Source organism: Homo sapiens, chromosome 3, assembly GCF_000001405.40.
Source record: "Homo sapiens chromosome 3, GRCh38.p14 Primary Assembly".
NCBI lineage: Eukaryota > Metazoa > Chordata > Mammalia > Primates > Hominidae > Homo > Homo sapiens.
Window position 1 is genome coordinate 80162882 of NC_000003.12, and position 13230 is coordinate 80176111.

Here is a 13230-nt window from a genome sequence, read left to right on the forward strand (position 1 = left end):
GTATTTCTGAAAGCTTAGCTTTTTTCTTCACTTACATATTTCTAAGTTTGCATATGTAAAACTCATAAAGACACAGAGAAAAATTATAAAAGAAAGAATGAAAATTAAAAACAATGAGTATATCGGCTCTCTGTGCCACAGCCTAGGGATCCATCCGATCAATCCACAGGGGAACAAAAAGGATTGCTCCAGAGCAGCCCCTGACTCCCTTCCCTGGAGGGATGGAGGGCAAGAGCTTTGACAAATGACTTTCATGCTGGCCATTTGAGCTTTGAGTAGACCATGGTTCTGGGAGAGGGGCAACTGCCACCTCTGGGTCCCCAGGGTCCCTGCTGCATGCCTGGGGTCAAGCTGTGCTCTATCTCCTTCCCACTGGCCTCTAGGGTATGGATTCCGGATTTATGTCTAGCGTCCAAGACTTTGAAAAGATATTACGGCTAGATTTGTATTAGTTGCCTTGGGAAATCATGAGCCTCCAACATCAAATAGCACAGTCAGTGGCCATTTACTACCTAATCACAGTCTAACTTCTCCAAGTCAAGTCAACCTGTCTGCAGATACAGTACCAGTGTTCTCTTATTCTAGCAGTAAAGATGACTTCTACGATGCTGGTGAATTCTCCAAAAGTGGTTCATTCTCAAAGTACTTTAATAGAATCTTCTTGATCCTTCTTAGTCTTGACACAAAGTAGCTCTGGAAGTAGTCTAAAGTGCCTACTTACCACAGAATCATTTAATTACTTCATATCCAGTGGAACAAGTGATGCTCATCTTTTTGATTTACATGGTGATAGAGAGGATGTTGCAGAGGCAGTCAGCAGAGGAGCATAAGAGCATTATCATGAATGTCTTGTCATGGGTTAGACTTGGAATGAATCTTACTAAGATAGAATGAAAATAGTTCTTCAAACATTTATTCTCGAGAGATCTCTTAGAAATGTATGCAGACTTTTTTTTTGCATCTGTTTTTGAACATTAGTGATGAGAAGGGTCCTAGTGAGTGAATGGTTTAGGTTATAAAATGGTACCTCTCAGCCTTTCATGCAAGAAAAAAAAAAAAAGAATTGGTTGCCAAAATGTCATACAACACCATTTTCAGTGAGATGTTTTAGTATCACTAGATATTACCTAATGATATTGAAGATAACACAGAGCTAGTTTCAGAAGCACCAGTTGCCTAGGTCTCCAAAAATAGTGTAACATTCATGGCTTAGCAGGTTTCCCATCATGCATCCATTGCAGCCTTTTATTCTGAGTGTTTTAACAAGAAGATACAATTTGATGCTCATATCTGGAACAAATAAAAATTCCATGGGATGTCAATTGAGGTGCACAGCTAGGGCAAGGCTATGTCTTCTGTCTAGAATATGATGAGCACTACACTTTCACATTCCCCTGTGGTTATGGAAGGTTTATCCTCACAGTGCCCTGTGGGGAATTAGGGAGAGAATGCAACATTAAATGTTTCAAACTGGGCTATAGCGTCTTCTACACTTTCTGTGGGGGCAAGAAGCACAGAATTATCCCTGACATTTTTTCTCCAAATGACAAGAAGTCTTTTTGCTCAATTGAAGGGAAATGGAATGATGTAATGCATGCCCAGTATGCAAAAAGGGGAAAACACCGCCTTTGTTGATATCATGAAGTTGCTTATAATCAAGAAGAAAGTGAGGAAATTGAAAGAACAGAATGAGGATAAATCCAGCTGCCTTTGGAAAGATGTCATTCAACTTAAGAATCAGAGACTTTGCTGTGTCAACTGAGGCAAAGCACAGACTTGCAGAAAGGCAAAGAGCAGAAGCCTGAGAAAGGAAGGAACAGAAAATTCAATGGGGACAAGGTATTTCACGAAGACGGAGAATGCTGGGTCTACTATGAACCATTGCAGAAAGATTTTTGTGCTGCCAAGCATTAGGTTGAGAAGTATAAAGTTTACAACTGAAGACCAGGTCAGTAAGCCTAATAAACAACAATCAATCTTGCTTTGAGAGAACTTATTCAGTCCCTACTTATTGTAGCGGCTTCTATCTCAGGGATAGTGGACTTTCCAATGCACATGGACAGTTCATTTGGGAAAAGCTTTCTTTTATTCCTCCAAAAAAAAGTGAGTACATTTGTTCTTTAAGCTCAGAGCCATGCCATAAAATATAATTCCCTAGAAATTGCAAAATTCAACAGTGCAATTAAGCACAATTACTTAAAAGCAAGAGAAAAAGATAATGAAAATTGGTTAATATATAGACATGAAACAGCCCAGACTTCTATTTACTTTACTGATCTAAAGAATAAAAGAAAATAAGTGGTTCACTTAAGCTCCATGGCAAAAGTGCCACATTCAAGCTGCCTCTCATTAGATAACCTAGCAGCATCCTTTGTAAATCTGGTTAACACTGAGGGTTACTTGTACTCCTCCTAACTTGGGAATTCATTTTGAATGCTATTGCAGTGGCTGTAGCTGTCTTTTCTCATCTAAAAACTAGCACTGATGATAATTGCTTAGTCTTTACACTGCTTAGTTTTCAAGGAGTCTTTGACAAGCCTCCTCTGTAACGTTTTCACCAGGTGTCATTTATAGGGACAAACTTACAAGTCACAAATAATAGGACTGAATTGCAGGTGCACTCGGACTTTTACAATATCAAAACAAGAGGCTAGAAACTAATTATTACAGAATGTCACAGCCACATATTATATCAGAAAGAGAAATGAACTTACAAAAGGGAATGTTCTTTTTAAGTATGATCGTCTCATTGAGTTCATTGTAATAAGTTTCTCTTCTTTTTTTCCCCAGTAATAAAGCCTTATTTTCTCAGAGTAGCTGTTTAATAACTGCTACACTCTGTATCCTTTATTATAATAACTGTGCATCAAATCTTCAAAATTGGATAAAGTACTTCATCCTTTATCAACTCGTTTCCTCTATAGACAAAATAAAGCCAGTGAAGATGTCATTCTTGTTCTTCGAAACAAGTAGATTAGTCCATTTTCTCATGGGATTTAGCAAAGTCCTTCAACAGATGTGACTGGCAGAGGAAGAACCTGAAGATGCTGGCCCCAGGGAATAGACTGCTGCCTTGATAAATCTTTGGGTCATAAAAGGTCATCTCTTGATGTTTGTAAGAAAGATTGACTTACTAACAAATATCAGCAAGAGATCTTTCTGTAGTGTAAAATATAAAGAAAGAAAACTAACATTGAAAGAGCATTTGCATGTTAGCAGTGCCAATACCCAAACAAGTGCAGGTAAAGTATTTTCAGTTACACATTTACTGTAAATGATTTTTCAAGTCATTTCTGCGGGAAAATATTTGCTTTTCTTAGTTGTTTATATTTTCAGTGGGCTCTATAGAAACTACACAGTGAGCCTCCACACAGGCAATTTTAAGCCATAATAAAGTAATTATGGCCAGCTCCAGGAAATGCTACTTTGAGATCCAGAGGTAAAATAAAAAATTGAAATTATAAGGTGCTTCATAAAAGCTGCTAGAAATTAAAAATCGCATTGACAGTTGAGGTCGAATTACTTATTATTAATGAATTCATATACCTCACTCTAATATTTGGCTGCAATATTTTCAGCTTGCAAGACAACAGTAATAAGTAAGATTTAAAAACAAAAATAAAACAGGGTGATCCAAACAGTTCCACTAGAACCACTCTATCACATTAGTAATTCTTAAATTTAGGAAACAAATCATTTCTTCCTTCAACTTGCTTTTAAAACAATTAATTAGGAAATTGAATTATTCTGAGTATATGCTTACAATGATTTGTCCTGCTGTGGGGAATGATGCCAGCCATATTGCCAATGAAACATTTTTTTCTTTCTTTCTTTTCTGTATGTTTTTTCTTCTGTTCCTACCTGTTTGAAAAATAGTTCATCTTCCCTCCCGTTAATGTTAGGATCCTTTCCCTAATACCTAGTGAATTAATCTCATATACTAAGTTCTCAATGTGGGAGCCGTACCCTAGGAAATTTTTAAGCACTCCATGTTGTGTTAATTTTTGTATGAAAGCAAAAGAGAAGGATGAGTTGACACTTTAAAAGAAGTGTTTCTTTTTTGTTTTGTTTTGTTTTACTAAAAGGAAACAAACAGAGACTCCTGACCCACACAACCCTTGGTCACAATGATATAAACCTTATTTTATTTATTTTAAAGTTTGATGTCTAAATTTTAATGTTATGTATCACTACACACACACAACACTCACATACATATACACACAGGCATATTGCTAGATTGTGGTGTCTGACAAGTATTTTAAAATAGAACTTTGCTTCTCATATATTATAAATTCAATAGTTGGATGTGCTCCCAGGATTTTTTCATATATAAGGATGTATATGACTGTCCCATTCTTCTCCAAAATATTCTCAACAATATATGACTTCTTCCAAATAATAAATGTTTTTAATAACAATTGGGGATTTCAAAAAGAAATATATAGAAAACAGTGATGTAGCAAGTAGGCACATATTTTACCTATAGACATTTTGGGGAATATAAATTATCCTATGTACTGGGCAATATGGGATTTGTGTACAGCATTAGAGTGTAAAGGCTGCAGTTTCATGAAGGATTTCTGAGGTCACATAATGATAATAGGAGGAATAGTTGTAATTTTTTAAAGCCCTTTGTATGCATCATTTTAATTCTTACATATCCTTGCACACGTATTACCTCTTTTGTTTCATGAATGATGTCCATAGATATTCAATTACTCACCCTGGGTCACAAAGATTTTTGGTGGAATAGTGGGGCTTTCATTATAGATGTGTCTATCTCTAATACCAAATGGTTTACCAATCTAAGGCTGATAGGGTCACATATTTTTACCATAATATAGAAAGTGCTAATAAGAAAATGCAGCTTTGATAAAGCAAAAGACCCACATTTTCCAGATGCATTTGAGTCAGTCTTTTAAAGGATGCAAGGATCCAGGAAAACATGAAGAACATAGACCTTTGGAAAAACTGTTATTAATAAATTGCATCTTGTAGAAGTGGGAGGAGCCTCGGAGTGATTATTGTTCCTGAAAGGTTGAGACTCTACCAACTAGCTGGAAATAACACATAATGTTCTATTCTGTTTAGAAGCTAGATCTGGACATTGAAAGAAACTTCCAGTCAGAGAAGACTTGAAATGACTGAATACAACTGACATAGAATATGTCTCAGGAAACAACCCATTCAAGCAACTCATTTTACACAAAGGAAATGAAGTGCTACAGAGGTTACACAATCTTGGTCTGTCATTTTATATAGATTTTTCCCAGAAAATCTCATATAATCCCTGTCATATGCCCATTACTCACATCTAAGCCAAGCAGAACGTCTCAGCCTACCTCCAAAGGCACATATGCTGACCCCATTGGTTAGAATTCCCTTTCTCCATTTGCTACCTGGAAAACACCAAATTATGCTCTTTCAAGCATAGGATCAAAGGTACAATGCATTTCTTCGGTAAAATCAATCAATAAATAAGTAAATAAGTGAATTTAAAATTGCCATTTCTTAATTGCATTGGCTATTCTTGAATGATGGTTGGAAATAAGTTTCTACAGCTTGGAAAATATCTAGGACTAGGGAATGTGATTCAGTGTCCTTGGGAGAAGAACATTTGAGCATTCAAAGCCTTCCCCAGCTTCCAACCCCCTTCCTAGTAAAATGATCCCAAGCTCTACAAGCCCAGGTCCCTGAACTATTCACATGGCCCTCACCAGGCTGCTCACAACTGCAGGGACTGGATATTGGTGTCTGAGCACAAGACTTTGAGTCAGCTTCCAAAAAGAGGACTGGTTAAGAGGGATGGTGCCTTCTGGTTTGCAATTTTCTGACTCCTTTGGGAGTTTGAACATGAGGTATGAGAGAACTGTCAACCAGCTTTGAGTGGTGCTGTGTATTAGTTTGTTTTCACACTGCTAATAAAGGCATACCTGAGACTGGGTAATTTATAAAGAAAAAGAGGTTTAACTGACTCACAGGTCCACATGGCTGGGGAGGCCTCACAATCATGGTGGAAGGCAAAGGAGGAGAAAGGCACGTCTTACATAGTGGCAGGCAAGAGAGTGGGGGCAGGGAAACTCACTTTTAAAAAATCATCAGATCTTCTGGAGACTTATTCACTATCATGAGAACAGCATGGGAAAGATCCGCACCTATGATTCAATTACCTCCTACCTGGTCCCTCCCAGTACACATGCGAATTACAGGAGCTAAATTTCATGATGAGATTTGGGTGGGAACACAGCCAAAACATATCATGCTGTGAATCTGTTGTGGAAATAAAAAGCAGAAGAAGCAATGATTTGGAGGAACTCACTCACTAAGGCAGATAACTGTTAAAAGGGTAATGGACACAGCCTCCTGACTGGGGGATCAGAAAAAGTAAACTAAAAGATGGCCAGAAGGACATGTCTTCGGAAGTCTTACCTGTGTGGCCAAGATGGTTTTTCTCTCATTTTCTTAAATCTCACATCTCCATGTGTAGATCCTCACATTGCTTGAGAGACCCTGATCGTATCTCCACCTCTTGTAGCTTTGCATGGGAGTGTCATGTATAATTTATGAGGGAATGAAGTCAGTTCACCAAGTGTTTCTCATGATAAAAATGAAGAAGCGACTTCTTGTAAAAGGCCAATATTTATTATTATTATTATTTCATCTTTCATTATAAAACTAAAAAATCTCATTAAAAAGCAAATAAAATGTAAAAACTGTCAACAATAGAATTAAAATATGTCTCTCATTTTCATGAGAAAATCAGAATTAAAATATAACTTTGATAGTTTATGTATAGTTTGTAAACATGTTAAGCAGATGAGGAAAAATCTAAGGTTTTTTTTAACATTAGAAGTATTAAATTAACAAAAAAACACTAAGGTGTTGAAAATTTTCACAGGCACTAATGACCTCCATCTTACCACTCCCAATCCATGTTTTTATCCTCATTTTAATTTACATCTAATCAACATTTATTGTTGTCTCTTTGTCTATAAAATAAAAATCCAGAAATTATATTTCCTTAAACCATTTTTTAAATTAGGTGAGGTAACACAGATCAAATAATACACAGATTCTTGATAATTTTTTGGTTGTCCAACCTGAATTAAGTAAAAAATTTACAGAAGAAAGAGAAGTAAGTTAAATATATTCAGTTACATTAATTTTTCTGAAGTAAGACTCTAATACTTCTTGGAATTATATAGGGAAAAGTTTATGTCTTTAAATTAAGTTTATTCTATAAGTTAAGCAATAAAGATACCTTAATTGTCTATTTCTAAGTTAGTGAGGCTGATAATAAATAGTAAATTTGGTGGAAAATAAAAATGATATGTGCTCCATTTCAAAAAGTCATTGAATAGCAATGTATTTTACCAAATAGAATGTGATTTATATAGTCATATGTGTATGTCCCATAATACTCTAACAAATTATTAGTAAAGCAGTACACTAAATATATTTCCCAACAAATTATAATTAGAAATGTAAATATCCCAATTAATAATAGAAGGCACAGGCATTTAGTTACTTCATAAATAGGAACTAATTTAAATATATTCATGCCCTGTAAACTGTTGCTTGGTTTCTGCTTAGAGTAATTAGGCAACCATGAAATTAAAGGGAATAATTAGATTACATTTTCCATCACATTGTAATTTTTTAAGGTTGGAACAGAAGGAGTAACAGATAATAGAGCCCAAATTTTCTCTTTCCATTAATTTAGCATGATTTCTCAAAATGCATTTTATTTTTATAGCTAAATGTACATGCTCTATTCCATATACCTGTTAGCTTTTACTTAAAATAATTGTAATACTTTAAAAATAAATAGATTTTTCTGTTACCTCTAGATTTCTGCTAATTATATGTTGAAAGCATGATTTATAAAGGGAAAAAGAAAAGGCCCCCGTTATCTATTTGGCTAAGGCGCTCACCTCCTTTAAGTGTGTGCTCAGCTTTCACCATTCTAATGTGACCTACCATGACCGACAGAGTGAATATTCTATCTTGGCACCCAGTCTTCACCAGTAGCATTCTGGCACCCCTTATTCTTTGTTTTCATTCTATAACATTTATCTTCTTAATACACACATGTAACTAGCTTGCTATTTATTTTTTCTTCCTCATGGTTAACTCCTGGACGGCAAAGATCTTTGTTTCTCACAGATGTATCCCAACCTCATTTAACAATGTTTATTTAAGGAATAAATATATTTGATAAATACATTTTATTGGATTACATTTTGCTCATTCACTGTGCTAGGAAAATCAAGTTTTAGTGTGCTGAAACTTATTTAGAACACTTCTTTAATCTTAGTATGTATTTTAAGGTTTTTTTGTATGAACGGTTGTTTAGTAATCTTAGAATCTGCCAGTCAATCCTCCAGAAGTTGGGAAGGAAATGTAATCCTGAAGTTCAATTTAAAAGCAGCACATTTACTTATTTTTTATCTATTTGTTAATGTTGCTAATATGAAGCTGTCTAAAATTGTGATATGTTTCAATAAGAAAAACGTAATAAAGGATGGTTAGGAAATGCAGTCTCATTCATTGGTTGATAATTTTAATGGAAGGATAGCTATCAATATTTAAAAATATGTCATGATAAGACATCCAGGAAATAGCTTCAAGTTTTAAAAAATACATCTTCAGGGTGCTGGTGACGTAAATGGTGAATTTGCAAAGCCAAATACTAAATAGTTTTTGCTTCTGATTACTCGCTTAGGTAGATGTAGAATTTCATCAGGGAGAGAAATATATATATTAAAATGAGTTGTATTCAATTGTTGTATAGAAATAAGAGCAAATCTGCTGTGTGTGGGGATAGTGGGAAGTTTTGATGCATAGGTCACATGTGTATGTCTGTGTGTGTGCATGTGTGTGCATGTGTGTATGTGTGTGTATGTGTACATGCATGTAGTGTCCAGAACTTGCTAAAGAGCTTATAACTTGCCTGTGATTCCATCTGAAGACTTTATTAACTGGATATGGCATCACACATGACAGAGGAGAAAAATCAAACTGACCTTGTACGGAAAGCTAAATGTGAGTTCTCCCTTCTTCAAAGAATTGCAAATTGGCTAATTTGATAAAGTCTGAACTTTATCAGATTTCTTATTTGGTAAAGTCTAAACTTTATCAAATTCTTTATCAATTTCTGGTAGTATCTATTTCATCCCTTTATAGTTATTCTGTCCCTGAGACACAGCAGAGTGTTAAGACAAAAATGAGTAACAATTTTGTGGTCAAAAGAAAGAAAAACAAGCTCCAGCCCTGTGTCTTACTGAGTGTCAGTTGACATTCAAGTCCCATAACTGCCTCCAGCTTTCCTGGGAATGCTGTGGATGGCAGGTCTATTTTCCTTGAGAGCCACTTAGAATTTTCTTTTGTGACCTTCTGAGACTGCTCCTTATTCTGCCTCCTGCAACTCTTTATTACAATTGCTTTTGCCCCTCTGACCCTGAGTTGCCTCTGAAGTTTCACCTTTTGGTCTCTGCCAATCTGGATCTCATTTTCTCTTTTACAGCCATGAGGACTGGCAGCTTTTACTGAGTGAAGAGAGAGGGCATTTCTACGAGTATTATAGCTCATTAATTAGCCAGCCTGTAGAATTTGTCCTCTTAGTTCCCCTCTCAAAAATCATGAAACAGGTGACAATAGGCTTGGATCAGCCCAGCGTGGTACTCAAGACGTCCCACAACTCACGCCTGCCCAGTCAATCAGCTTGCAGTATCAGTCAAATTGCATGTGCTCAGCTGAGCCTCTTCTGATGGAAATTTCTTTTTGCACAGCTCATAGTGTGATAGAACGGGTTAGAGAGTAGTAATATTACTATCTACACAGTGTTTTGTTTATAACATTTTCAACACCACTTATTAAGAAGTAATTTAACAAGTATTTATAGAATGCCTACCATATGATATTATACATACAATATATGCAGAATATTTTATACAAATATTTGTTTTATCATAAAACAGTCATGTATTTGTTACAATTAGTATTCTTTAAAAACTTCAATTCATGAGATGTTTTAGACCTTATGAAGGCAAAAATTTTTTAAAGAGAAAAAAAATAAACACTTCAGCATTGGCATTAGGGTGAAGCTTGCTATTAACCTGTCTCCAGTGTTTTTAAGCAAACATGAATAGTATTGCACAAGGAGAATGCATCAGAACCTTGACTTTTATAAAATTCACAATACAACTTCAAGATTTCCTTGCAGACAAACTGAAGGTACTGTGGCCTTTTGAAGGTTGATTGCTGTGTTCACTTCTGCTCTTGGACAAGCCAGAGCTGCCAGCTTGTGCCCGTGTTGTGGAGCTGACCGATGTTTTCCCATGTGTTATATTTGTTGCTGCACAGGCTCAATAGCGTCTACCTAGGATTTTACCTAGATTCTAGGCTTCTAACTTCTCCCAGGAGATAAAATTTTGATTATTCTACAGAAGATTTTCAGCTTGACTAATTATCTAACAAAGACAAATAAATCTGGGAGGCCTGCATTTTAAGTGATATTCACATATTTATATATTAAGGGAAACTATAGATGACATTGTTTTAAGGTGAGAAAGTTACTACAGATAGTAAATTGGGAAAAAAATCCTTTGCAAATGCAATAGATTGATTTTATAAAGCCACAAATATAGAGAGCTAGGAGAAATTATGAACAGCCCTTTTAATTGTTAATTATGTAATTATGGCATTTCAAAATTTTTCTTGTATGGCCTAATGAGAATTTTGTAACATCAAGGCTACATCTTAAGTGTTGTTGGATGCTCATGGAATGCTCTTCCTAAATTTCATTTTCATTTTTTCTTCCTAGTGTTTCTGCATTTTATCAGATAGAAAATAAAAGGGTGTATTTATATTACTGCTAGTAATTTTGACTAGTGTAGTTGATATTGCTTTACATTTATATTTCTGTATCTGTCTTTCCTTTTCAACTCCATTCTTTTCACTGATTTCTCCCTCTGCTGTTTGTTTGTTACTCCCCATTTTATTAGATGATGGGACATTGGCTGCAGTTTCTGAATTTTAAAGTTTTCTTATTTTTTCCTTTAAAAAAATAAGTAAGTAAATGATTTCAAATTTTAAGAAAGCAGTCCTCCATTTGGAAATAAAAATATTAATTAAAGTTTAAGCATATTGCATTGATGATAAACTCTTGATAAGGTATAAGCAAAAAGACAAATGGACTTTCATCCTGAACTCATCCTGAACTCATCCATTAAGTAACGGCTACTATTCCTGATTTTCTAAATTCTGGTTAGTTCTAGCCCTCAATCCCATACATAAAAGAAAAACGTGAAGGAAAGTTATGCTAGTATAGTATACTATACCAATTAATTTAGCAAAAATTGCCAAGTTTGACAGTGTATTCTTTTGGCAAGGCTAGGGAAAAGGAAGTATGCTCATATATTTCTGGTAGTACTGTAAGTTGGTACATGCCCCATGGAGAAATATTTGGCAATATCTGTCAATATGAGAAATTAATATACCCTAGGACCAACAACTTCACTTCTGAAAATTTATCCTTTGACACACTTGGCACACACGTAATAGACAAATGCTCAAAGTCGGTCATTGTAGTGTTGTTTGTAACAGCAAAGAATTGGAAACCATACAAATGTCTATTAGCAGAATATTGCTTAAATACATTATAGCACACACAGTGATATGGAAAATATTGAGCGGCCCTAAAGAAGAAAGAGGAGTCTATACACTTATGGAGAAAAATGATAAATAACACTCTAAAATAATAAAAAAGTCATAGAAAGGCATATGTCAAATATGTTAATTTTATACAAAAAGGTCAAAAATAAGAATATGTATTTGCATTTGCCTGTATATGCTGAAAAAAAACTGTAAAGACACATACATTCACACATAAAAGCTGTTATCTAATGGTGACTGGATGAAATGCAGAAAAATAAGGCATGAAATGAGAAGTGAAAATTCCACTGTATTTCATTTTGTTGGAGCATCATAAGTATATTCCTTATTATACACACTGATATTTATTATAATATTATACACACATAAGCACACAACAGATCTGGTCAATGTGGAGAAGAAAATGTATCAGAAAACTAATGATAACTCTAATTACTACAATTGAGCAGAGAGCTTGGTTCCAAAGAAATTCCTGGGGTAATGGAAATATTTCTATGTTGATTGTGGTGGTGGCTTCTTCACAGGTGTGTATTTTTCTCAAAATTCCTCTATTGGTACACCCTAAGTTGATGTGGGTTATTAAATACAAATTATACCTCAATAAAGTTGATTAGAATAGCTTTGTGCTGGACTTCCAAAGTTAACAACAATAATAATATCAATGTAAACTATTATATATAGACTACTCTGTCATATGGATGTTGTCTTTTGTAGAGATTTATGCAAAACAAAAAGCATTCCTTCAGGTGCATAACATTAAATCACATGTGAAGACATTTCTAAAGAGTGCTAAAGCAGTCTGATTTGGTCTATGCTTTATCAGCCCTTAGAAGATAATGTCCACATAAACGACCTATCATTTCATTTTTCTTTTCTTTCCTTTTCTTTTCTTTTTCTTTCTTTCTTTCTTTATTTTTTTTTTTTTTGAGATGGAGTTTTGCTCTTGTTGCCCGGGCTGGAGTGCAATGGCACAAACTCAGCTCACTGCAACCTCCACCTCCTGGTTCCAGTGATTCCCCTGCCTCAGCTGCCCTTGTAGCCTGAATTACAGGTGCATGCCACCACACCCGGCTAATTTTTGTATTTTTAATAGAGATGGGGTTTCACCATGTTGGCCAGGCTGTTCTCGAACTCCTGGATGTAGATGATCTGCTTCAGACTCCTAAAGTGCTGGAATTACAGGCGTGAGCCATTGCGCCATACAATTAACTTATTTTTTTCAAGGAATTTATTACCATTTTACATACTATATATTATTTATTAAGTACTGCATCTGTCCCCTCCCTTTAGAATGTCAGCTCCTTGAGGACAGACACTTTGTTTAATTTGCTGCTGGATCATTGGCACCTGAGGTTCTTAGGAAGCAGTAGGTACTCTGTAAGTACTTGTTTAATCACTATTAATAAATACATGGTTTAAAATATGTTATTTAAAAGTCCCTGACAAAGTTGTTATGATGGAAAGTCAGATATTCTTTCTTATTAGCTTTAAATAACTGAGATTTCCTCCAGTTTTGGAATGATTTATCTTGTATTTGACTGAGTTCCAGAG

At 35.1% G+C, this 13230-nt stretch overlaps 1 pseudogene; it reads left to right on the top strand.

Annotated features, from left to right (window-relative positions):
* OSBPL9P1 (oxysterol binding protein like 9 pseudogene 1) lies at positions 445-2094 on the top strand (annotated as a pseudogene).